This window comes from Homo sapiens, chromosome 10 (assembly GCF_000001405.40).
Source record: "Homo sapiens chromosome 10, GRCh38.p14 Primary Assembly".
Taxonomy (NCBI): domain Eukaryota; kingdom Metazoa; phylum Chordata; class Mammalia; order Primates; family Hominidae; genus Homo; species Homo sapiens.
Window position 1 is genome coordinate 18,527,800 of NC_000010.11, and position 26,883 is coordinate 18,554,682.

Below are 26,883 nucleotides of genomic sequence, written 5' to 3' on the forward strand. Positions count from 1 at the left end.
AAAAAACAGGTGTGTGCTGCCAGTCGCTGTTGCTATGGTCTTACTGATTTCATGGTGTGGAAGGATTTGTTATGATAGTTTCAAGTTAAGAATTCCACAGGCTGTCAGCATTAATGTTTTGGTTGTGGTTTGTTTTCACTAACATGAGCTTTGGTGTCTGCAGACTCTAAGATCTCCTGGCTTTGCATCAGTGTTACCATGAGCAAGTTTATTAACCTTTTGAAGCCTCCATTTCCTCATCCTAAAAAAGAAATAAAATAACTACCTCATAGAATCATTGCAAGGATTAAACATGATATGTGCTCAATAAATGATATCCATTATTATCCTAAATATTCCTTAATTCCAGTTATATATCAATAATGAAATCATTCTCAGGAGAGTGTAATTTGTGGGTGTGGAAATTAGTAAAAGATGAAGTCAATTCCTGGCTATATTTATTGATAGATATCAATATGTTTGTTTTATTTGTAAAAACAGTGTAGGGAGTTATTGTGTTTACAGAGATGGTATGTGGATACTGCTTATTAACGTATACTGAATTGATCACACTGAGACCCTTCAGCTGCTATTTAATCTTTTTGGTATGTGCTTGGAGTTTTAGGTTAATCACTGTTACACATGTTGCTTACTGGATGGTTAGGTTTCTGTTTTTATAAAGTAAACTTTCTGAGAGTTGTGTCAGATCTTTGAGCTTAATTTTTCTCTGTTTATAGGTTAGATATACAAATCCTCTGAGAGGCTGGTTTCTAACATAGAAGTTCTTCGTTTACTCTGAAGTATGATTATATAAATAACAGAAAAACTATTATAAATAATAAGCTTTATATGTTAGCAATGAGCATGATACATTATAGAACTCAGTTTTGTTTCTCACCTAACAACCCTTCGTTGGCAAAACTTCAGTAACAGGTTTAGAAATATATTTGAGGAAAAAATGTAATCATGTGTTTTGCTTATAGCAATTCCTTTTTATGTCCTTATCATCTGTCACAGTTAAAACTCTTTCCACACATCATTTGATGCTCACAAGAATTACTTTTTATTTTGACTTTTTTGAGAGAGGGTCGCACTCTGTTACCCAGGCTGGAGTACAGTGGTGTGGATCATGGCTCACTGCACCTTGACCTCATGGGCTCAATCAAACCTCCCACCTCAGCCTCCTGAGTATCTGGGACTACAGGCACATGCCACTACATTGGGCTAATTTTTTGTAGAGAGGGAGTCTCACTATGTTGCCCACGCTGGTCTCCAATTCCCAGGCTTGGGCAATCCTGCCTTGGCCTCCTGAAGTGCCAGGACTATAGGTATGAGCCACTGTGCCTGGCCAAGAATTATTATAAAATGCTTATTTCATAAATTAAACTGAATTAACAAAGTCAAGTAATTTTTTAGACTCATCAGTGGAATCAATTACATAACAGATTTCCTTAGATTGCCAAGATTTTTTTTACAACTACTGATTATACATTGTTTTTAAATGAATTTTCCAGTCTATGTATTTCATTGAGCATACACTAGATACCAAATATCATGTGGAAGCCCATGAATAAAAAAAGAAACTGATGAAGCCCCTTCCCTCAAGGAGCTGGGTGTAGCCATAAGGCGAATCAGTGAAGAGCCCTTTGAGATAGAGGGTGATGAGCAAAGTGGTCGAGCCATGAACTGGCTGCCAAAGAGCTGTTGCTGCAGGAGGCACAGGGAAAGGCTTTTCCAGGGAGCTGATCCTGAGCTGAGACTTGAAGATGACAGGATTTAGCCAAGAAAAAAGGGAAAGGAGTGGAGAGGGTGACAGTGATTCGAGACAGTGAAAGCCACAACAGGCTTCTGAAAAACATAGGTGCTTCATTTAAGCTAAAATATATTGTTTTAAAAAGAAGGACATGGGAGATGACATGACAGAGAGAGGCAGGCATAAGACATGAAAAGGTTGGAGCTTATTTCTATTAGTCTGTTCTCAGGAAAAAATGTGATCATGTGTTTCGCTTATAGCAATTTCTTTTTTATGTCCTTATCTATCACACTTAAAACTCTTTCCACACATCATTTGACGCTCACAAGAATTACTGCTAATAAAGACATACCCAAGACTGGGTAAAGTAAAGAGGTTTAATGGAATCACAGTTCCACATGGCTAGTGAGGCCTCACAATCATGGTAGACAGTGAAGGAGGAGCAAAGTCACATCTTACATGGCAGCAGGCAAGAGAGAGCATGTGCAGGGGAACTCCCCTTTATGAAACCATTAGATCTCATGAGACTCATTCACTATCAGGAGAACTACATGGGAAAGACCAAGTCCCATGATTCAATTACCCCCCACCAGGTCCCTCCTGTGACACATGGGAATTATGGGAGCTACAATTCAAGATGAGATTTCGGTGGGCACAGCCAAACCATGTCATTATTCTTAAGGTGGTAGGAGACCATGTACAGACTGGAGGCATTCATTCATTTAGCAAATACTTGAATACCAACCATGTGCCAGCCATTATTTTGGTGCCCAGGGACACAAAAGTGAAGGACACAAAGTCCTCTTTCTCATAGTGTTTGTTTTACAGGAAGACATGGACAAAATCTTGTATATATAGACAGACAGAGATGGCTGGTCAGTGGTTGAGAATTCTAAAAGCAGCAGCAGACCAAGGAATAAAGAGTGAGCCAAGGAGGAGGCTGTAATATTATTATAATAAAATGCAAGAAGTACAAAAATGCAAAAAAAAAAAAAAAATGCAGTTGGGCAAACCAACTGCATCTAACACCAAACCCATTTTATAATAAAGTGTAGAGTATATCATGTAATGTATTGAATACTAAAAGTGAAAAACAGAATGGTTGTATGGGGACTCAAAGTTCGGTTCCCACTGTACATATATTGCTTTCACACTCTTATAAAGTTGAAAAATCTTTAAGTCAAACCATCGTAAGTCATGGACTGTCTGCACTTAGTGTAGGCCAAGTACTGCAGTAACTATAACGGAAGCTTTGCATGTGGATTAATTTAGTCCTCATTTCCGTAATACAGATTAGAATACTTAGGTTCTAAGAGGTTCAATATGTTACCCACTGGCCATAAAGCTCTATGAAGCGATGACGCTTCACTTCTGCCCCCCAAGCCACTTTGATATGTGGCAGTGGGAACAGAGAGGCAGAATTTACTGAGCCTGGGGAGAAAGGTAGTTAGAGAAGGCTTATACAGATTCTTTTTGCAAGATAAGGCAGGCACTGGTCAAAATTAAGAGTTTTGTGTGTAGTAATTATGAAAATGGCATTGGAATTACACATATGGCATTAAATAACTCATACTAGAGCTACCTCCAGGTCTTATTAATTCCTAACTGACCACTTAGGTGTCCCTCAACACTAGCCGCAATGAAAGTAACCATCTCTACTCTGTTATTACAGTATTTTTTGTTTGATTACAGAAACCTCCTTCTAAATAAGTTAACTTCTGTTTTTTGTTTTTTAACTTTTAAGTTCCTATCACCCAGGTATTAAGACTAGTACTCACCAGTTATTTTTTCCTGATTCTCTTCTTCCTCCCACCCTGATAGGCCCCAGTGTGTGTGTCATTAACCCTCTATGTACCTTGTTTTCTTTATCCACTCCATCACTGATGGGCCTTTAGGTTGATTCCACATCTTTGCTATTGTGAATAGTGCTGCAGTGAACATATACATGCGTGTATCTTTATAATAGAATGATTTATATTTCTTTGGGTATATAGCCAGTAGTGGGATTGCTGGGTCAAATGGTATTCCTATCTTTATGTCTTTGAGGAATTACCATACTGTCTTCCACAATGGTTTAACTAATTTACACTCCCATCAACAGTGTATAAGCGTTCCTTTTTCTCCATAACCTCAACAGCATCTGTTATTTTTTGACTTTTTAATAACAGCCATTCTAACTGGTGGGAGATGGTATCCCATTGTGGTTTGATTTGCATTTCTCTAATGATCAGTGTTGTAGCTTCTCTTCTTTATCTAAGAGGAAACATTGTTCCTGTTGTTGTTTATAGATATTAGAGATATAAAGCATAGAAAGGTGTTCATTTTTCAGTTTAATTCAGTGGGTATAAGAAACTGTGGGATGTGGGGAGATGAGGAAGGCTTGCCCCGTCTTCAAGATGCTGAGCTGCATTCTTTCATTAGCTAGGACAACTGGAAAGAATCAAATTGACTTTCAGTTTCAGAAACGAACATTGGGGAAGTTTCTGACATTTCTTTATTAGAGTAAATTCTGAGCATGATATACTCTGTCAAAGGAAAATTCCTAGCATGGATACATCCATTTTTAAAAGCATCATTTTTACTTTGAAGTCAAAAGTATTATCAGAATTTGTCATCGATTCTTAAGGTTGTATCTACTAATACAGTGTTGCACCAGGATTCTGAAAGTCCACTTTAAAATATTTTAAAACTCTTTCCCTTTAATTAACGGAGTGTAAAGTATGTATGTAAGGCTACCACAAATATCTTTATATATGTGTATATATTAAAACATGTTAATATATTGACATAATATAAATAATATCCATATATGTAATATATTTTAAGGCTATCCAGGTTTTATACAATCAGCACATATTAGGGCTGGGCGCAGTGGCTCACGCCTGTAATGCCAGCACTTTGGGAGGCTAAGGCGGGAGATCACTTGAGGTCAGGAGTTTGAGACCAGCCTTGCCAACATGGTGAAACGCCATCTCTACTAAAAGTACAAAACATTAGCTGGGCCTGGTGGCACATGCCGGTAATTCCAGCTATGTGGGAGGCTGAGGCGAGAGAATCACTTGAACTGAGGAGGTGGAGGAGATTGTGGTGAGCCGAGACTGCACCACTGCACTCCAGCCTGGGAGACAGAGAGAGACTCTGTCTCAAAAAAAAAAAAAAAAAAAACAAAACAAAAAAACAAACAAACAAAAAAAACAAAAAAACCCACATATTAAACTTGTACTACTCAAACCTTTAAAAGCAAGGAGTTACACGGGATGCTGTGACTGTCTGAACACTTAACAGATGAAACAAAGATGAAAATCTTTGTGATCAGATTTCTTAATGCTTACAGTAAATATTAATTTAGGTTGTAACTTGACTGGGATTCAGTGGCCCAATGTTATTTTAAAGCTAGTATCTCATGTAGTTTGGGCCCTGATTTTTTAAAGATATCTAGGTAAAAAAAAAAGGACTCAAGTCATAACATATTGTGAGGCAGATGGATTAGTGACCAGAGAGTTACCTTTTCTTCAATAAGGTACTAGTTAAAATTATCTCCAGGAAGCTTCTGGCAAGAATCCAACGGCCTAAGAGGAATTAAAAGGTAATTGTAAATCCACATTTGCTAGCATAAAAGTCTCATGGAATTCAACCTCCACGACTGCAGTGGGAAGTGAAAGCTATGTACTATGCTTTATAGACCTATGCTGCCTAGTAATAGTAGCTTCTGCCTATTTATTAAATTTTAAAAATTTACACGCCTGTTCAAGTGCTCAGTAGCCCATTAGCTGCTGCCACGCTGGACCACATACAGAGAATATTTCCCTCATTGCAGAAAATTCGGTCAGACAGTCCGGTTTTTGAGTCTTTGGAGATCACAGAACAGATGAACTGAATGCCATTTTCTCGGAGTTCAACTAGATATTCTAATGTTTTGTGATAAGTTTCTATAAATTTTATACTTTAGATTTCTGTAGTGCTGCCTCTGAAAACTGCCCTTTTAAAACATGACTACTTTGGTTGGAAAATATGAGGTGTGTTTTTGGATAAGTTTCTTTCTGGTGCCATTCACGTCTTTGCTGTTTTATTTTGTATTTCATCTTGTTAATAAACATCTAGACGGCATACAGGTGACATGTAAACATAGATCAGCCCGTGCACTGAAAGGAAAACCTGTCATGGTTGCTAATGCAAAGTGGTCTGCAATGAACACACGGAAGATATGTCAAGGTTCTTATTTTACAGCAGTTTTATGAAATGATTTCATAGACTGCAAGCACAAAGAATGTCAGCAGAGAGCTAAAAATTTCCACAATCCAAGTATTATACTAAAAGTAAATTCTGTAGCCGGTTGACAGAAAAATTCCTTAAATCCTAATGATGTGTGGAGAAACAGCCCTTTCCAAAAGGATAAATTACTGTTGTAAATTTTTATCAATTCTATTGCCTGTAAGCATTAACATAATGGCTGACCTACTCACCTTTCTGTTGAAGAAACAGTATACCATTTTACTTTATCTTAAAAATACTGCACTTTAACTGAATTGTTTCGCCCTTTACAGCGGAAGTTCAGAGTGAAATCGAAAGGATTTTTGAACTTGCAAGAACATTGCAGTTGGTGGTCCTTGACGCGGATACAATTAATCATCCAGCTCAACTCAGTAAAACCTCCTTGGCCCCTATTATAGTATATGTAAAGATTTCTTCTCCTAAGGTAAGTAGGACTGCTACTGTTTGCTCTATAATCAAACTTTCCTAAAATGTATTTTATGTTCTGCTTTCTATAATTAGGCTATTGTAATAGCCTTTATGATGTATAGAGAATTTGAGGAGACATGATAGTCAAGAATTTTTAAATTGATATAGTTTCATGGCTTAGAACAGCTGTTCTCAAAGTGTGGTCCATGGATCCCTGGAGAGTGTTGAGACACTTTTAGAGGGTCCATTTAGTCAAAACTACTTCCATGATAATACTAAGACATTATTTGCCATTTTCACTGTTTTGATATTTGCATGGCTGATGCAAAAGCAATGGTGGGTAAAACTGCTGGCGTCTAAACATAAATCAAGACTGTGGTATCAAAGTACCAGCAGTTACTGTATTCACCGCCACCATGCTTTCGCAGTTTGAGGGGAAAAAAAGCCAATTTCACTTAATGTCCTTATAAAGTAGTAAAGTTTATTACTTTTATTAAATCTTGACTTTTAATATTCAGTGTACTAAAACAAAGTACACACAAAGCTCCTGCTGTATACCAAAAAGTAAGGACAAGCACTGGTTTGATTGAGTTGTGAACTAAACTAGCCATGTTTTTCATAGAATACCATTTTTATCTCAAACAACAACTGACAGGCTATGCTTATTCCGACTTGGTGTAGCAGATATTTTCTTGGACAAAATAAGCCTGTCACTTAAAGGAGAACAGCATGTGTTGCCAATGATAAAACTCAAGCTTTCAGACAACAATCAGAATTTTAGAAAACTTGTATGCATCTCTGAGAACTTGCAAGCTTCCCAATAAAGTTTTCTCTGAGATCAATGGTAATATTAATGAATATGATGTTTTAATAATGTATAATGAAATATGTCAACATTTGGAAGATCTGAAGTCAGTGAACCATTATTGTTTGTATGATCAATGAATAACATTAATTTTCAAGACAGACCAATGGAATGTCATGGAGTAAGAAAATTGCACTGCAGGTTCAGATTCCACATAACAAATAGTCTTTAAGGAACCACCATTTGTTGAGTTTTAGTGTAGTATCAAAGAAGACTATACTAAATTGTTTCTCCTTTTCTCAATTACAAATCTGTAGGAGGTTGGATTTTCTTCACGTATTTCAACCAAAACATGACATTGCAGCAGGTTGACTGTAGAAGCAAACAGGAGACTGCAATTGTCTTCTATGAAGCCAGCCAGCCAGCCATTAGAGAGATGTGTAAAAATGTAGCTATTTTTATTAAAAAAAATTCGGCCGGGCGCAGTGGCTCATACCTGTAATCCCAGCACTCTACTAGGCTGAGGTGGGAGGATCATGAGGTCAGGAGATCGAGACCATCCTGGCTAACACAGTGAAACCCCGTCTCTACTAAAAATACAAAAAAATTAGCCGGGCGTGGTGGCGGGTGCCTGTAGTCCTAGCTACTTGGGAGGCTGAGGCAGGAGAATGGTGTGAACCTGGGAGGTGGAGCTTGCAGTGAGCCGAGATCGCACCACTGCACTCCAGCCTGGGCAACAGAGCGAGACTACATCTCAAAAATATATATATATATATTTTAACATGTATCAGATTTATTGTGAATTTTTAAATAAATGTTTTAATAGTTTTCCATTTTAGCTTCTTTAAAGAGGTTGTGAGATAAAATGTTTGAGAGCTGCTAGCATAGAAAAAATGTGAGTGCTTAAAGCTTGCAACTGTGATTTATGTTAACATGTTAATTTTGCAGATAATCTTATAGCTCCATCTATTATAAGCCCCTTGTGCTGTATATAAAAAGGCCCCAGAGAAAGGAGTCAATAATGTACCTTGTACTTTACCTGGATGTAGTTATTACTCTGTTAAAAACTCATTATCTTTTACAGGTTTTACAAAGGTTAATAAAATCTCGAGGGAAATCTCAAGCTAAACACCTCAACGTCCAGATGGTAGCAGCTGATAAACTGGCTCAGTGTCCTCCAGTAAGTTATCTCTATATACAGCATAATCCAGTTACAGAGATCAGACCTTTTTTTTTTTTTTTTTTTTTTTTTTTTTTGGGGGACAAGGTCTTGCTCTGTTGCCCATGTTGGGAGTGCAGTGGTATGGTCTTAGCTCACTGCAGCCCTGAACTCCCGGGCTCAAGTGATCCTATTGCTTCAGCCTTCCAAGCAGCTGAGACTATAGGTGCATGCCACCATGATCGGCTAACTTTTTTTTTTCCCCCTGTAGAGACGGGGTCTTGCTATGTTGCCCAGGCTGGTCTAGAACTCCTGGCCTGAAGTGATCCTCCTGCCTTGGTCTTCCAAAGTGCTAGGATTACAAGCATGAGCTGCCATGCCTGGCCAGAACTGGCATTATATTTTGAAAAAAACAGTCAAACACCTGTCAGGGAAGAGAATCCTCATCACTTACAGTGGTATTCATTCCAAAGTAAACTGTCCTCCCTCCTTCCATGATCATGTGTTTTGAGCACAAGTAATCCAAACGATGATCATAGCTTACCAAAAGCTTCCGTACATCCTGCAGTAACTTCACTTTGTTAATATCCAACACAAGATCCTGGTTCCGAAAATTTGGCTTGTATGATGAGTCTATTTGGAGTTGGTATATTATTCATTTCTGATCATAGGGATCAAGTTGTCTGCTCTTAATAACTGTCTGAGACATTTATTTTCACATGGTCTCAAATCAATTTCTAAGTAATAAGTTACCTAGATTCTCACTTGTCGTCTATGCTTTACATGCAATGCCTTGAGGTATTAGAGCTTTCCTAGGTTTAGTTTTGGAGGCAGGGTCTTGCTTTGTTGCCCAGGCAGGAGTGCAGTGGTGGTGTCTCAGCTCACTATTGCAACCTCTGCCTCCCGGGCTCAAGTAATCCTCCCACCTCGGCCCTCCAAGTAGCTAGGACTACAGGCAAACGCCACCATGCCCTGCTAATTTTTGTATTCTTAGTAGAGACGGGGCTTTGCCATGTTGCCCAGGCTGGTCTCAAACTCCCGACCTCAAGTGATCCATCCACCTTGGCCTCCCAAAGTGCTGGGATTACAGGCATGAGCCACTGCACCAGGCTTTTTTTTCTTTTTAAGCATAGCCATTTCAGGGTCTATAAATATTTGATTGCTTAATATATGTTAAAATTTATAATAAACACTAAAAAATCTTTTGAAAAGTGGCATTATTTTCTTCTCTACTGAACTACTGTGAAGTTTGGACAATGTCAAAATTTCACATCCTAATCTTACCTTATTAATTTCTAAATTCAGATTTCATAATCTTGGGCCGGGCATGGTGGCTCATACCTGTAATCCCAGCACTTTGGGAGGCCGAGGCGGGTGAATCACTTGAGGCCAGGAGTTCAACACCAGCCTGGCCAACATGGCAAAACCCCATCTCTACTAAAAATACAAAAATTAGCAGGGCTTGGTGGTAGGCACCTGTAACCCCAGCTACTTGAGAAGCTGAGGCAGGAAAATCACTTGAACCTGGGAGGCCAAGGTTGCACTGAACCAAGATCAGGCCACTGCACTCCAGCCTGGGTAACAGAGTAAGACTCTGTCTCAAAAAAAGAAAAAGAAAAAAGATATCACAATCTTTATGTCAAGAACAGGCTTCTTCCTATTCTATTCTATTCTGTTCAAATATATATACATCTCTTTTCTACCATAGTATCTATGCCTTTTTCATTGCTGATTGATAGACAACTTTTCTGGGTTGCCATGTCCTTAACAACTGTTACCTTTCTGGCCATTATTTATTAGTTAAGCATTCAGTGCCCTCAACAATGATTTGAGGTAGTCAGACACTTCCTAACTAAATAAAAAGGGAGATAGTAGCAGCACTTATAGAAGCAGGAGCAAGTACAAAGGGGTGCAGCTCATGAGCCCCTTCCTCCTCTTATGGAGGTGGGAAGGGGGTGAAAACTGGGCTGGCATCAATGTGGTCTGGAATGTCTGCCTCTGCAGGAGCTGTTCGATGTGATCTTGGATGAGAACCAGCTTGAGGATGCCTGTGAGCACCTTGCCGACTATCTGGAGGCCTACTGGAAGGCCACCCATCCTCCCAGCAGTAGCCTCCCCAACCCTCTCCTTAGCCGTACATTAGCCACTTCAAGTCTGCCTCTTAGCCCCACCCTAGCCTCTAATTCACAGGTAAGGGGAGTTTTTATATATATCTATATATACAATCTTCATAGAAAAAAGGTTGCCTATGGTGACACCTCTAGGATCCAAGCCCAGTAGCCTGCTTGGGGCTTGTTCTAGTATATTAACTCAAAGCAAGTCCAGCATGAGCTGTGTATGTACCTGTAAGAAAAGCACCATCAACAGAATATATTGGGAACATACACAGACTACCGAAACTTTCTAAACAGTAGCATAGACTGTGGAAGTGGATCACCTAGATTCAAATCCTGGCTGCACCTCTTACCACTTGTGGGGTGGATAACCTGGGGCAAATTTCTTAACTGTTCTTACCTCAGGAATAATAATGGCAACCTGTCCAAGAGGCTGCTGGAATTAATAATCTCAAGAGATGATCTTATAGGGCTGTTGTATTAATGAGTTATTATATACAAAGGGTCTACAGAACAGTGCCTGTCCCATACTGTATCACTGTATCAGGTAAGCATTTGCTATTTTTAATATTCTCACATACAGTCAAGCAGAGGTAGTTAAGTTTACACCGCTGTATAGAAAAATCTCAGGGACCTGCATCTGTATTTGAGCCACAGGAGAATAAATAAAAGAACATTTTCCCTGCTGCTGCTTTTTTTTTTTTAAAGGAAAAAGTTACCATGGGCACTGTTCTAGGCACTTACAAAAGTCCAATTTAATATAGTATAGTATAAAGCCTTATAAATGCCACTGGATGTTACCAAAGGGATGAAGCTAGGTTAGACTTCATTTCAGCTTTTCGGATGCTTAAAAAGGACTCTGCTTGAATGCACTTGCTCTGGGACATGTTCTTTACACACTGACCTTGGTTAACGCCTGGTGTGCTCCTTTCGCTGCCAGGGTTCTCAAGGTGATCAGAGGACTGATCGCTCCGCTCCTATCCGTTCTGCTTCCCAAGCTGAAGAAGAACCTAGTGTGGAACCAGTCAAGAAATCCCAGCACCGCTCTTCCTCCTCAGCCCCACACCACAACCATCGCAGTGGGACAAGTCGCGGCCTCTCCAGGCAAGAGACATTTGACTCGGAAACCCAGGAGAGTCGAGACTCTGCCTACGTAGAGCCAAAGGAAGATTATTCCCATGACCACGTGGACCACTATGCCTCACACCGTGACCACAACCACAGAGACGAGACCCACGGGAGCAGTGACCACAGACACAGGGAGTCCCGGCACCGTTCCCGGGACGTGGATCGAGAGCAGGACCACAACGAGTGCAACAAGCAGCGCAGCCGTCATAAATCCAAGGATCGCTACTGTGAAAAGGATGGAGAAGTGATATCAAAAAAACGGAATGAGGCTGGGGAGTGGAACAGGGATGTTTACATCCGCCAATGAGTTTTGCCCGTTTGTGTTTTTTTTTTTTTTTTTTTGAAGTCTTGTATAACTAACAGCATCCCCAAAACAAAGTCTTTGGGGTCTACACTGCAATCATATGTGATCTGTCTTGTAATATTTTGTATTATTGCTGTTGCTTGAATAGCAATAGCATGGATAGAGTATTGAGATACTTTTTCTTTTGTAAGTGCTACATAAATTGGCCTGGTATGGCTGCAGTCCTCCGGTTGCATACTGGACTCTTCAAAAACTGTTTTGGGTAGCTGCCACTTGAACAAAATCTGTTGCCACCCAGGTGATGTTAGTGTTTTAAGAAATGTAGTTGATGTATCCAACAAGCCAGAATCAGCACAGATAAAAAGTGGAATTTCTTGTTTCTCCAGATTTTTAATACGTTAATACGCAGGCATCTGATTTGCATATTCATTCATGGACCACTGTTTCTTGCTTGTACCTCTGGCTGACTAAATTTGGGGACAGATTCAGTCTTGCCTTACACAAAGGGGATCATAAAGTTAGAATCTATTTTCTATGTACTAGTACTGTGTACTGTATAGACAGTTTGTAAATGTTATTTCTGCAAACAAACACCTTCTTATTATATATATAATATATATATATATCAGTTTGATCACACTATTTTAGAGTCTTAATGCCAAGTCAGCAGATTTGCTTTATGAATTACAGGGACTAGAAATGCCCACATTCAGGAAATTTGTAATAACATTGTCTAGACACCTATCCTCATTCTAGTAGAAAGTGTGTACATACTGTAAATATGTGTGATTGCTTGACTTGAAAAGGTTTGAATTCTGAATGTTATACCATCCTTGTAAGTAAGTTTGTAATTTCCACCATAAATTATGGTAAATATAAAACTCCAGAGGTTGTTCTACTCCATACAGTTCACACTGATTGTGACACATTCTTAGTAGCTAGTGTCTGTTCTAGTCACTGCACTGGAGTCTACGAGCCGGAACTCGCTATATGCACGTGTGTGTGTCCGTATGTAAGAAAGTGTGCACCGAGTGACTGAATGGTTGAGATGAATTGGAATGCTGAAGACTAACGAAGAAACTAGAGACTGATATCGAGCATTCTGCCCACCTCGCTCTGTATTTAATTAATTGTGCTATATGTTGCTTTAACAACCCATTGAGCAGTCAGGGAATGTGAGTAAGCTTGCTGCCAAAGGTAACTAGGAAAGCATTCATCTGCTGCCTCCTTGTTTTTGCTCCTAGAGAGTGAAAATACAGGCAATTTTACTGTGAGTGTTTCACTGGAAATGTACAATCTTTGTGTGTTAGAGTATTTGTTTTAGTAAGAAATGTTTACACAGCTTGTGGAATTATTTCGTGGGAAAATAAATTTTTATAACTTCTCCCACTTCAATTTCTAACCTTGCCTATTGTTCCTGTTGTTTGTTTACCTCCCAGTTACCTACCATTCCTCCCCACCACCGACTCCAGCAGGTTCACTGTCTGTCAGAACCCAGAAGTGCTTCTTATAACCAAAGTTTCTGTTCTTCAGAAGAAATCAGGGCAAAATGGGGTGACTTGAAGTGAATAAAATGTTAAGAATATTATCCTACATAAGACATGTACACAGAAGGGGAACCTTGAAGACATTATCTCCATGCCTCAATTACACTGCTGTAAGAAGCTTACAATGTCATCATGTTTAAGGCTAAGACCTTTTCCGTGTCTCAAGTGTATATTTTGTCCAGTTATAACTGGATGGTAAGACAGTATTAAGAGTGCAAGTACCTGGCACTTGAAGTTTGTCCCAGGAAAATGCCTGTGTATAATTACCTAACTTCAGATCTGCACATTAACTTATTTAACAAAATAAATCAGCCGGGCGCAGTGGCTCATGCCTGTAATCCCAGCAATTTGGGAGGCTGAGGAGGGTGGATCACCTGAGGTCAGGAGTTCAAGACCAGCCTGGCCAACGTGGCGAAACCCCGTCTCTACTAAAAAGATAAAAAATTAGCCAGGTGTGGTGGTGCACACCTGTAATCCCAGCTACTTGGGAGGCTGAGGCAGGAGAATTGCTTGAACCCAGGAGGTGGAGCCTGCAGTAAGCCAAGATCACACCACTGTACTCCAGCCTGGGTGACAGAGTGAGACTCCATCTCCAAAAAAGAAAAAAAAACAAAAAACAAAAAAAACTATCCAGCAAAATTATAAAATCTACTTTGTTTTGCTTCCTTGATTATTCCAAGTTCTTACCAAATATTCTTAGCCTTTTATAAGTAAAACTGTTTTACATTTAACTCCTTATTTCCCTTACCCCCAAGAAAACGCAATATTAAAAATGATTAAGCTGGGGTGGTAGAGTATACCTGTAGACCCAGCTACTTGGGAGGCTGAGATAGGAGGATCCCTTGAGCCCAGGAGGTGGAGGCTGCAGTGAACCGTGACTGTACCAATGCACTCCAGCCTGGTGACAACCTGGTGTTTAAAAAAAGAAAATAAAAATTAGTTACATATATAATGTTTTATCAGCTTATATATGAAAAAATTTCCCTCAGTTCGTTAATTAGCCCTACACTGTTTACATAAATTTATTTACTGAGTATAAAATCAGTAGTCATAATAAACTTGACAATTCTTACATTGGTAGGAAACCATATTCTAATTAAAATTGAATTTATAAAATATTTCTGATAAAACTTTTGTCATGGTAAGAGATTCACAATTATTAGTTCAATCCTTTATTATTTCATCCCAATTAATGATTTTAGAATATTTAAATTCTTGAAACATAGCTAGTATTTATCTTACTTGCTGCTATCATTAATCCCTTTCAAAAAGTAGTGGTGAGAGTTTCCATCTTTTTTATTTTGTATCTAGATTCTTAGCTTGCACTTTACTGTAGAACATATTAGTGCAAATCAGAATATTCCTCAAAGAACTAGCTTGAAGGATTTGACATAAGAGCCGCTATATGTGAAAAACTGTATAGTGGACATATGTGTAAACTGTGTAGTAAATCTGTAAATGAGGAAATAATCTCAAGGGCAATGGGATATTTACTGACCTGCGGAATGTAAAGTTACAGTCTTTTCACACAACAAAGGCTTAACCTTAACCTACTCAGTTGTAGAGCCATTTTTGTAGTCAACCTAGAAAATGCTGGAAATGTATTTAATAGTTTTTTTTTTTTTTTTTTTTGGTCATATCCATTTCAGTCTTTCCTATGCTCTTTCTCTACTGCTCATTTAAGTTACTGTTACAAAAAGGTGCTGCTAAATGTAGGATGTCTTAGTCATGTTGTACTTTGGGACAATGCCACATTTTTAACATGGTCTGCTATGCATTCCTGTTAAACATTCACTGTCAGCTACACTGAACTGTCTAACAAACCTGGTTTAAAGTAATTCATATAAAACAAATAAAGAGCTGGCTTCTGCACTGTTTATTAGTAGTAGTATTAATTGCCATGTTAGAAATGATTCATGTAGTTGAGACTATATTAAATATTCAACACTTCCCAGCTGCAGGGCATCTTTCTTGGGGCAATGCTAAATACTTTATGTTCCTTTAGTAATCTTCCTATTATGTCTGATTAAAAAAAAAGATACCTCCACGTAGATAAAATATTTTATTCAACGTGAGCTCTAGCAGAATAATCTGGGTCAGTTATGAGTTCTGGATCAAGAGTTTAATTTCTGCTGCGCTGTACTTTTAACTATTTGTACTTTGCTTCATTATTTAAAACATGACACAGGGTTTTAAAGTAAATGTACTCACTGTTGAACTTAAGTACTTCTTCTGTTTCATAGAAATGTTAATATTAAATGTTAAAATATATATTAATTTTCCCTCACATTTCCCTGATTTTTTCACCTTATTGCATTTTTTTCTTATACTGCTATGTCCCATAAGTTTATGTGATTTTCCAGTTTGCTTAAGTTTTTGAAAGGAAGAAACCCACTGAAAATTAGCTCTGTTCAAGGAAAAATTCTGAATAGTATTCTTTGTCCTGTTTCCAATATGTAAATACTTTTCTTCTATTTACTGGCATTGGTTGTATTTTGATATTTGTTGGTATTAATCAAACATTTACACCAGTAAAAGTTTGTTGCTAGGCTGATTCTCTGCCATTTTCATCCCAGCTTAGCAAATAAGGATGTGCAGCAAGCATTACAGAAAATGATTTTTGTAGAGTTTCTTAAAAGACATTTAAAGTTTAAAGAGGTATGCTGAGCCCTAAAAAGATAAGTCCCACAGGAAAAGTGTTTCTCTTTAGTCAAATGACAGCTACTGGATATAAGGCAGAATGAGGGATGTAAGAGAGACACATGTTTGCTTGAAATAATTTTTCTCTCAAACAATAATCATCTATTGACTGTTTGCTCTGAAGCTGTGACAGAGAAACGGCAGGACAGGGTCTCTGCCTGGAGGATGTTTCCCAGGTGTGGGGCTGGGGCTTAAGGTGCATGGCTAGAAAATTTGAATGAGAGTGTCGTAAGTGCCAGGAGAACATTAGATGTGGGAGCCAGGGGCACAGAGAAGGGGAGCAGTGCCTATCCAACCTCAGGGAAAGGTATTCAAGAAAGCCTCCTTTAAAGAAGAGGCAATCTAAAGGTCTTACCTGATCCAAGAGACCTTGCAATCCTTATGGATACAATAAATAGTTATGAGAAATTCCTAAAGAAAACCTGTGGAGGGCGGGGCGGGGGGGCGGGCGGAAATCAAACTATTAACCAATTGTCCATTTCTTAAGCCCAAGGCCTAATAACTTTTGGGTGATTTGAATGAAAGTTAACAAAACAGTATGATGGATTTAACACCATGAGACAGCCTTAAAACTATGGCTGGGAAGTAAGTATTCTGATTGATCTAAAAAGCCAATAGGAAGGCAAAATCCTAAGGCTGTAATGTTTTTTTTAAAAGCTGGCTGGGTGCAATGGCTAACATATGTAATCCCAGTGCTTTAGAAGGCCAAGGCAGCGGGACTGCTTCAGGCCAGGAGTTCAAGACCAGCTTGGGTAACAAAGCAAGATCCCATCTCTTTAAAAAAAAAAAAAAAAAAAAATTAGCCAAGCATGGTTGCACACAACTGTGTTGTCCTAGCTACATGGGAGACTGAGGCAGGAAGATTGCTTTAGCCCAGGAGTTTGAGGTTGTAGTGAGCTATGAAATCATGCCACTGCACTCCAGCCTGGGTGGCAGAGCAAGACCTTGTCTTTAAAAAGTAAAATTAAATTGAAAAGCAGTCACTTATTTTGGCCACTACAGTGGGATGCTTGATTTTTGCAATTCGAAGGATGATCTGCTTTTTGTCTGAATTCAGACTTGATTGTGGTCTTTTTTTGTCTGGATCTATGATAGGTACGGCTGCCTTGTCTGATGTTGGGGATAGGTGAAACTGCTTACGTTCAACAGGAGAACACCAAGGCCCAGCTATAAGGGTCAGGTCAGGCCACTTCCCAGCTGCCAGAGCTGGTTTTTTCTTTCTCACCAAGCATTTTCTAATAACTGATATGTTTCAAATACATGATAAGTTATCCAAATTGTAGAATAATCTCATTTTCTAAATCTACAAAGTAAAGAAAATACTAACTTTACTTTTTCGTTTAAAATTATGAAAAACATTGAACATAGACTACCATTTAGACTACGATAGTCTTTAGACTATCACTTCACACTATCATTCAGAGGAGGTCCAGACTTCATTTGAAAGGGGGTTGACTTACTAAATAAGCAGACAGAGAGTCAGGTAAAATACTTACCTCCATTATTGGCACATAGTCAATGTTTTACTTCCCATGCCCTGAATCCTTAAGAAACTAGGAACCTAGAAACAAAAACAACTTTTCATAACCACATCAAATATTGCTAATTTATTCCTTTTGTTAGATTCACTAATTTTTAACATTAAAAATGACTTGTACACTTTACAAATTAAAACATTAGATCACAAATGAAAATATGCTCCAGACATCTATAGGCATCTGCTTTTCTTTATACTCTACTAAATACATAAAAAAAAAAAATCTTTTAAAAACAGAAAATATAATCTCATACCACCCCCTACTTCCTCTATGTCTCTGGATCCCTGGTAAAACAGCTGGCAGCCTTTTCTGTTTCCATAGCAACCACATCATCATTCAGTTGGCCTGACAACACTTTGGTTAAAAAAAAAAAAACCACAGACAGCAAATGTTTGGAATTTTCATTTCTGAGCATCCATCCCTCTCCTATGTGCTTTTGCATTTTACAAATTTTGCAATAAAAAAACCTATAGAGTCCTTATTAGCCAGACGCAACATGTCTTCTCTTCTGGCCTCTCTAAGAGAGTCCATGTCAGTGTCCGGTAATGGCACAGCCGATGGATCAAATCGCTGCAGCTGTTTCAACTGTTCACATGAGAGCCCAGCTCCCCTCATTCCTTCTCCTCCAATCTGCGGTTCCTGTTTGGAGAAAGTGGATCAATATGGATGAACATCCTGTAATTAGCAAGTATGACTGCTACAATTTAAGTTAAAAGACAAATTGGGCTGTAACGACTACATCTTCCAAAAATAGAAAAATGAGTAAATGCCTTTCATTTTGGTGGAACATACGTGCTGCTTTCCAGACAGTAAAGTAGGAAAGCAATACTATGCGTCACCTGATGAACAAATACCTATTATTACATGCTTATCAAACACTGTGACATTATCAAAGGCCTGAGCTTCCTAGTTGGAAACAAGTGGACTCAAATTGCAGCTCTACCACATTTTAGCTGTGTGACTTTAGGTAATGTTAACTAACCACATTTCCTCATCTATTAAACAAGGCTTAAGTAACGAAGGTGGTATCACACCTGGCATATAGCAGGGACTCAGTAAATGGAACATTATTATCAATAAAGCAGCAAAGGCCAGGCACAGTGGCTCACACCTATAATCCCAGCACTTAGGGAGGCCGAGGCGGGCTGATTACCTGAGGTCAGGAGTTCAAGACCAGCCTGGCCAACAAGGTGACACCCTGTCTCTACCAAAAATACAAAAATTAGCCAGGTGTGGTGGTGCATGCCTGTAATCCCAGTTACTTGGGAGGCTGAGGCATGAGAATTGCCCGGGAGACAGAGGTTGCAGAGAGCCAAGATTGTGCCTGGGCAATCCAGCCTGAGCGACAGAGTGACACTCCATCTCAAAAAACAAAAAATGAAAGAAAAGAAAAGAAAAGAGAAGGAAGGGAGTGGGGACGGGGAGGGGAAGAAGAAAAAGAAAAAGAAAAAAGAAAAAAGAAAAAAGAAAGCAACAGAAAAAATTCAGCTTTATTTAACAGTTTCCAAAACTGAAAGGTGGTCTTTGGGCATCTAAGGTACCTCTCTCTGACCCATACCAGTTGGGCGAGAAAAGTTTCTAGAAAAACAAACATAAGAAAGGAAACATAATTTAAGGCTGTATCAATTAGTTTAGAGGAATCATAAGGCATTGAATGATACTTGCAAACTACTGAAGAAGATCTATAATCCTAAGTCACCATCACAGACAATCATCTGCATGTTAATGAAGATAGGTTTTCAGACATATACTTAAGAAAACAGATCGTTTATTATCCCATGGAGGTCAGGGGAAAACTTCCCATCCCTTTTAGGTATATATTTTGAGTGTGTGTATATTTCCAAATGAATTCCGAAGTCTTCCTTTCATCTACAATGTAATTATCTTAATTTACGAGACTAGAAACCATCTCTGAATTGTCTTTATTTATGTATTCCCATTACCTAATTTCTGTATAGAAAGGTACTAAAGTTAGATGCTCAATGTATCTGAATGTATGCGAGCATTATTACAGATTTAAACTTAATCTCAAATATCCTGGACTAAAAATTGAATCAAAAATACATTTCTAATAAAGACCATAACATAAAGAGTTGTGTTAGGTAAAAGAAAGTATAGCAAAGCTTTTTAAATATTATACATTTTATATAATAAGCAATAATCCAGAAATACTTTTTTCCCTTTCAGCTGGTCTTCTGATATCCCACAGTTATTAAAGCTCATTTGAGCTTTGATGTGACATGAGAGAAAATGCTCAACATTTTCCATGTCAGAAAAATACAGGACTGGGAAGGAGAAAAAAATCTTTTTAGAAAAAAGGTGCCGAGTAACATGAATAGCTACAAGGGGAATAAACACATAACAAAAACACTCCCAAGCTCTGTGCCATTTTAACACAATGGCAGGAACAAAGATGAGAAAAAACTTTGTCAGGACATGCAAATTATGGGCAGTCTAAAGTGGATTTAATTAGATAAGCATTCTTGTTTATTACAGTGTTCACTTTGGAAGTTTTACTTATCTCTTCGTTAACACCCTGATTACCACAGTGCTTCAGTTTCTGTGATTTATCTTATTACACAGAGAAAAATGAAATTACTCCTACCTGGGGCTGAAGCTGAAGGCAAGGAAATTTTGTCAGGGCCCAGGCAACCTGTTCTTCATTTTCGGCCAGTGTTATAGTGCACGTGCTATAAACCAGCACACCCTCTGGCTTCAGCAGCTGAACCGCCTAAAGAAAACTGTGATCAGACCACACACAGCACAAGACCAGATAAACATATGAATGAATTTCAAAGCAAAAGGTATAATGTCTTTCAAATGTTTGGGATAAATAAAATGATGTTCTATGTGACAAGGATTCCTTCTGTAATTAGAGTATGCAAGAGCAACACTTGCAGCCTAGACTAGGTGCATTTCATTATCTTGGAACTGTCATACTCCAGATGGACCAAGACTTCCCCAAATATAATCATTCACCGTCATGCCTTTGGATACCATTTTTTATGCTGAAAACTCACAAATTTACATTTTTAGGCCACATCAACTTGTTAAATTCCCTACTTAAATGTTCAGTTGGCTTCTTAACATTTCTTTTTTATTCTTATTTTTTTAAATAGAGATGAAGTCTCACTGTTGCCCAGTCTTGTCTTACACTCCCGGGCTCAAGCAGTCCTCCCACCTTGGCCTCCCAAAGTGCTGGGATTGCAGGCGTGAGCCATGGGTCTGGCCCTTCTCAACATTTCTATAATACTATCAAACTTGACATGTCCCAAAATGAACTCCTACTTTCCCTCTGAAATCCACTGCAGAAGTTTTCCTATCTTTCCAGAATCTCAGGTCCCAAACCTCAGATTTTCCTTTATGCCTCTTTTTCTGACTCCCCCAAACATCACCAAGTCCTATTGGCTCTACCTTCACATTCTAGCCAGAATTTGGCCACTTCTCACCACTTCCACTATCATTGTGGTCCAAGCCTCTTTATCTTTTGCCTGGATTATTCCAACCGCCTCCTACTTCATCAACCTGCTTTATTCCCTGCCCTCCTGCAATCTAGTCTCAGTACAGCAGCCAAAGCAGTCCTTTTAAGCTTGTCTCTTCTCAGCCCCAAGCCCCTCACATGTCCTCCATGATCACTTACAGTCAAAGTCCTTACATGATCACTTAGAGTCAAAGACAAAGTCCTTACAGAGGTCTTTGAGGTCAGACATAAACAAGTCTCTTGTTGCCTCTCTGACCTCCTCCTGTACACCTCTTACTCTGGCCCATTTGACTTTGGCAACACTGGCCTCCTGCTGTTTCTGGAACACACAAGACACACTGGCACCTCAGAATCTTTGCAGCAGTTGGGAAAGCTCTCTTAATTCCCTGCACTGCTTACTCCTTATCTTTGCATGTATGTCACGTTCCCGGGCACTCTGTAGATTTGCAACTATTCCAATCCAACACTCCTATCCCCAGTTCCTTTAGCTTGCTCCATAGGGCCATTGCATTATTGCCTTCTAATATACTAAAAAACTCATTTATTTATTTCCTTTCCTAGTTAGAATGGAAACCTCGTGAATAAGGGCATGGAGTGTTTGTCCACTTTCTCAATGCTGTACCGTCAACATCTAGAATAGCGTCTTACATACAGGAGATCTATGAGTATTTGTTGAATAAATTAATCAGGAGATAAGGTATTGTGCTAAAATGGACTTGTCTGAAATACCTAAAGTTCAGCTTTTCAAGCTCCTAATTTTTAAAAATTTAAAGGAAATCTTTAAAAATAGAGTATACATACTTGTGCTTTTTAAATCAGAGTATGCTGATCAAAATTTAAACTTTGTTACTATGTGCCAGTTACTGTGTGAAACACTGTATATGAATTTTTCTCAATAAATCCTTATAACAACCACAAAGTAAGATGACTATCACCAATGAGGTATTCCTAATAGGTAGAGCTGTTATCCCTGCTACTCAGATATAGAAAACAATGTACCTAAAGTCACTTAGGTGGAAGAGCCATGGCTCAAGTCAACAAGGCTCAAGTCCACATTCTCGATTTCTCTCCATGCCAAATGGCAAACCTGCTATATTCTAGTTCTCTCTGATATACTGTCAGCTTTTCCTTCTCATTGAGATCATTCATCTACTCCTAGTAGCCTTTTAAAATACCATTTTTGCTGTGACCTAATAAGAACAGAAATCCAAGTCCTTTACAGAAGTATCCTAATTTTATTCTCAAGTCAAAGTGGGTTTCGGCTGTAACTAAAGTTTCCTTTTTGCTGCTTGCTGTTTTAATTCTGAGGATGAGTTCTTCGAAGACTTCATAGAAAAAGACGAAGTTAAATAATACACAACCAGTGCTACCTTTGTATATGAAAGGAAACACCAGGAGAGTTGAATCAGAATGTACTCAAAGGCAGCTTTAGAAACTAAATCATTATAGAACATCCATTGTTGCTCTAGCCTTGTATTTTGGAGGGCTGGGAGGAAATAATGAATTCATCTATGATCAAACACTGCCTATACACGCTGAAATCCACTGAGTCATTTTTGAAAGACTAGGAGAAATCCTCAAATGTTCTATCTGGGCTTCTGAAAGTGCTGGAGACAAGTTAAATTTGTACAGTTTTTATGGTTCTCCTATATCCTACGCTGGCCACTGTCTCTTCCTGTTTTTATCAATGAGTTTTGCTCCCTATTGGGCCTTCTTCTAAAGACGACCCCCAAAAAATCTCTTTTTTTTTTTTTTTTGAGACAATCTTACTCTGTTGCCCAGGCTGGAGTGCAGTGGCATGACTTCAGCTCACTGCAACCTTCGCCTCCCGAGTTCAAGCAATTCTCCTGCCTCAACCTCCCGAGTAGCTGGGACTACAGGCGCCCACAACCACACCCAGCTAATTTTTTGTATTTTTAGTAGAGACGGGGTTTTGCCATGTTGGCCAGGCTGGTCTCGAACTCCTGACCTCAGGTGATCAGCCCGCCTCAGCCTCCCAAAGTGCTGAGATGATGGGCGCAAGCCACCATACTAGCCAATAACTCTATTTTTTTAAAAAAAAGAGTAATTTATTTTATATCTAATTCTTTACATCAATTAGTAACTACAAGTTAACAACTCAGTGACTTTTTTCAGATAGAGAATATTTGAAATTTATTAAATATCTCAGTGATGAAATTCTACTATTGCCTGTATATCTTAAAGGTGAGTCAACTTAAATGAAAACTTCCTATATTTAAAACTAGGTCCTCTCAGTTGTGTGTGTGTGTGTGTGTGTGTGTGTGTGTGTGTGTGTGTGTGTGTGGTAAAATATAAATAACATAAAATTTATCATTTTAGCCATTTTAAGTCAATAATGACATTCAGTACAGTCACATTGCTGGGCAATGATCACCACCATTCATCTCCAGAACTTTTTCATTATCCCAAACTGCAAGTCTATACCCATTAAACAATAGCTCCTCAATCTCCCAGCCCCACAATGCCTGGTAGTATCTATTCTTCTTCCTGTCTCTGTGAATTTCCCAGCTACCTCATATAAGCAAAATCTTAAAGCATTTTTCCTTTTGTGTCTGGTTCATATTACTGAGCATAATGTTTTCCAGGTTCACCCATGTTGTGCCTGTATCAGAATCTCATTCCCTTTGAAGGCTGAATAATGTTCCATGTATGGATATAGCACATTCTGTTATCCATGTATCTGTCAACAGACTCTTGGGTTGTTCCCACCTTTTGGCTATTGTAATGAACGCTGCTATGGAGATTGCTGTCAGTAGTTTAAACATCAAAGTAGCAAAAGTTAACTTTGTTTCACAAAAACAGACCACCACATACTGCAGTGAAGAGTTTTCGCTGTAATGGCTGATATGATGCCACTTCCTTCACAGACCAAGTACAGGCCATGTTTGGTCTCTGTCCCATTCCACTACAGGGTGCATCCAGAAGAATTCGGTCAAAGGATTCTGGTAGAAATGGAGGTTCTCCTATAAAGAGAATTATAATCATGTTTACTATCTTCCATATAGGTTTAAACTAGAAAACTCCTGAGATGAGCAGGAATTTAAAATCATAATCTAGAATAAAAAAATGAAACAATTTCTCCCTTCAATCAAGTAGCTGGTTAAACTAATTTTGACTTATACCTAATACAGATTTGATGTGGTAGAAAGGTTTAAAATGTAGTTATAGTTGAAAAGTTATTCTGTTGATATAGTACAAACCAAGGCCTAATCACAAAAGACCTTCTACCCCAAACTTCAGAAGCCACAACTCATCAAAGCTAGGACTTGGAATTAATTCTAGTTGTTCTGGAAATGGATACTTCTCTTGGTAATTCCTATTGAAGACAGCCCCCAAGAAAATGCCTGTTTGACTGTTGTGAAACACACTGATTCTGTGTTCCTGAGTCTCCTTGTTTCTGTGGCCATGAGAATGGCTATGGTCTAGAATAGGGAGAATGAGCCAGTACCACCCCTAGATTCAATCTTCCACGAAGTTTTCCTTTGCATTCACTTCAGTAATTTTCTCTAACTTCTAATCTATTTAATATTATTGGAGGAAGGTGTGAAACCAAGTGGTCTGTTTACATATTTGGGCTGTCTACCTGCTACCAAGATTTCCATTCCATTCCGCATTCCATTTCATTCCGCATTCCATTCCATTCCCCATTCTATTCCATTCTCCATTCCATTCCATTCCATTCCCCATTCCATTCCATTCTGCGTTCCATTCCATTCTCCATTCCACTCCATTCAATTCTCTACTCCATTCTATTCTCCATTCCATTTGATTCTCCATTCCATTCTTCTCCATTCAAATTCCCTAATCAATTCCATGCTCCATTACATTCCATTCTACACTACACTGCATTCCACATACCATTCCATTCTCAATTCACCATTCCATTCTCCCTTCCATTCCATTCCACTACACTCGACTCTCCATTCCATTCTCCACTCAATTCTCCATTACATTCCATTCTCCATTCCATTCCATTCCATTCTATTCCACTCCATTCTCTAATCTATTCTCCATTTCATTCCATTCCCTTCTCCATTCCATTTCCCAATCCATTCTCCATTCCATTAAATTCCATCTTCAGTTCGATTCCATTCTCCATTCCATTCCGTTCGATTCTCCATTCCATTCCATTCTCCCTTCCCTTCCATTCCATTCTCCATTCCATTCCATTGCATTCTCCATTCCATTCCATTGCATTCTCCATTCCATTCCATGCTCCATTCGATTCCATTTCATTCTCCATTCCATTCCATCCTCCATACCATTCCATTCTCTATTCCGTTCCGTTCTCCATTCCATGGAATGGAATGGGGAATGGTATGGAATGAAATGCAGAATGGAAGAGAATGGAATGGAGAATGGAAGGGAATGGGAAGGAGAATGGAATGGAATGCAGAACGGAGAATGGAATGGAATGGAGAATGGAATGGAATGCGAAATGGAATGGAATGGAGAATGAACTGGAATGGAGAATGGAATGGAATGGAGAATGGAATGGAGCGGAGAAAGGAATGGAGTGGAGAATGGAATGAAAGGGAGGATGGAATGGAATGAAATGGAGTGTGGAATGGAGATTGTTTTGAATGGAATAGGGAATGGAATGGCATGGAGTGGAACGGAATGGAAGGAAGAATGGAATGGAATGGAGAATGGAATGGAATGTAGTGGAAAATGAAAAGGAATGCAGAATGGAATGGAAATGTAACAAATGGAGAATGGAATGGAGAATGGAATAGAATGCTGAATGGAATGGAGAATGGATTGGAATGGAATGGAATAGAGAATGGAGAATGGAATGGAATGCAATGGAGAATAGAGTAGAATAGAATAGAATGGAGAATGGAATGGAATAGAATGAAGATTGAACTGGAATGCAGAGTGGAATGAGATGGAGAATGGAATGGAATGGAATGGAGAACGGTATGGAATGGAATGGAATGGAGAATGGAAGGGAATGGAATGGAATCGACAATGCAGAATGGAATGGAGAATGTAATTGATTACAGAATGGAATGGCATAGAGAATGAACTCAAATGGAGAATGGAATGGAATGGAGAATAGAATGCAATGGAATGGAGACTGGAATGGAATGGACAGGAATGGAGAAGGGAATAGAATTGAATGGAGAATGGATTGGATAAACGAATGCGGAATGGAATGGAATCAAGAATGGAATGGAATGGGGAATGGAATGGAATGCAGAATGATATGGAATGGACTGGAGACTGGAAGGGAATGGAAAGGAGAATGGAATGGAATGTAGAAAGAAGAATGGAATGGAATGGAGAACAGAATGCAATGGAGAGTGGAATGCAATGTGGAATGGAATGGAATGGAGAGTGAACTGGAATGGAGAATGAAATGGAATGGAGTGGAGAATGGAATGAAATGGAGAATGGAATAGAGAATGGAATGGAACGGACAACGGAATGGAATGAACAATGGAATGGGGAATGGAATGGAGTGGAGAATGGAATGAAAGGGAGAATGGAATGGAATCAATCGGAACGTGGAATGCAGAATGGGTATGAATGGAATAGAGAATTGAATGGAATGGAGTGGAATGGAATGGAACAGAGAATGGAATGGACTGTAGTGGAAAAAGGACTGGAGAATGGAATGGAATGGAGAATGTAACAGATGGAGAATGGAATGCAATGGAGAATGGAATGG

The 26,883-nt window shown here is 38.9% G+C and overlaps 2 protein-coding genes and 2 long non-coding RNA genes across 36 annotated transcripts in view, besides 1 other annotated feature; 1 reads left to right on the forward strand and 3 right to left on the reverse strand.

The window, feature by feature from the left end:
- The window catches only part of CACNB2-AS1 (CACNB2 antisense RNA 1), a 26,661-nt gene extending 15,184 nt beyond the window's left edge, over window positions 1-11,477 (reverse strand). The window contains exon 1 of the long non-coding RNA XR_007062076.1: window positions 11,395-11,477. This is a non-coding gene — a long non-coding RNA (CACNB2 antisense RNA 1). The remainder of the gene's footprint in view (window positions 1-11,394) is intronic.
- The window catches only part of CACNB2 (calcium voltage-gated channel auxiliary subunit beta 2), a 403,134-nt gene extending 387,376 nt beyond the window's left edge, over window positions 1-15,758 (forward strand). For all 14 annotated transcript variants that reach the window (NM_201571.4, NM_001167945.2, NM_201572.4 and 11 more), the window contains 4 exons: window positions 6,277-6,428; window positions 8,302-8,397; window positions 10,381-10,566; window positions 11,431-15,758. In NM_201571.4, the coding sequence (NP_963865.2) occupies window positions 6,277-6,428; window positions 8,302-8,397; window positions 10,381-10,566; window positions 11,431-11,925 (929 nt within the window). In that variant the 3' untranslated portion in view covers window positions 11,926-15,758. The remainder of the gene's footprint in view (window positions 1-6,276; window positions 6,429-8,301; window positions 8,398-10,380; window positions 10,567-11,430) is intronic.
- LOC124902387 (uncharacterized) lies at window positions 4,050-6,997 on the reverse strand. Its single transcript, XR_007062077.1, has 2 exons — window positions 5,238-6,997; window positions 4,050-4,162 (listed from the first exon to the last, which is right to left on the reverse strand). It is a non-coding gene; the product is annotated as an uncharacterized LOC124902387 (long non-coding RNA).
- The window catches only part of NSUN6 (NOP2/Sun RNA methyltransferase 6), a 113,767-nt gene continuing 104,645 nt past the window's right edge, over window positions 17,762-26,883 (reverse strand). For 18 of the 20 annotated variants that reach the window (XM_024447884.2, XM_011519385.2, NM_001351116.2 and 15 more), the window contains 3 exons: window positions 24,024-24,172; window positions 20,313-20,438; window positions 17,762-18,346 (listed from right to left, as the gene is read on the reverse strand). In XM_024447884.2, the coding sequence (XP_024303652.1) occupies window positions 18,134-18,346; window positions 20,313-20,438; window positions 24,024-24,172 (488 nt within the window). In that variant the 3' untranslated portion in view covers window positions 17,762-18,133. Of the gene's footprint in view, window positions 18,347-20,312; window positions 20,439-24,013; window positions 24,173-26,883 lie in introns of those variants that run through there. The other 2 variants (XM_047424782.1, XM_047424780.1) reach the window with 1 other exon arrangement.
- Window positions 24,753-25,254: an enhancer, noted in NCBI's record as "NANOG hESC enhancer chr10:18841481-18841982 (GRCh37/hg19 assembly coordinates)". NCBI's record gives its function as "activates a minimal SCP1, AML or CMV promoter by ChIP-STARR-seq in naive H9 embryonic stem cells {active_cell/tissue: H9 hESC(naive)}" and the evidence as "EXISTENCE:reporter gene assay evidence [ECO:0000049][PMID:30033119]".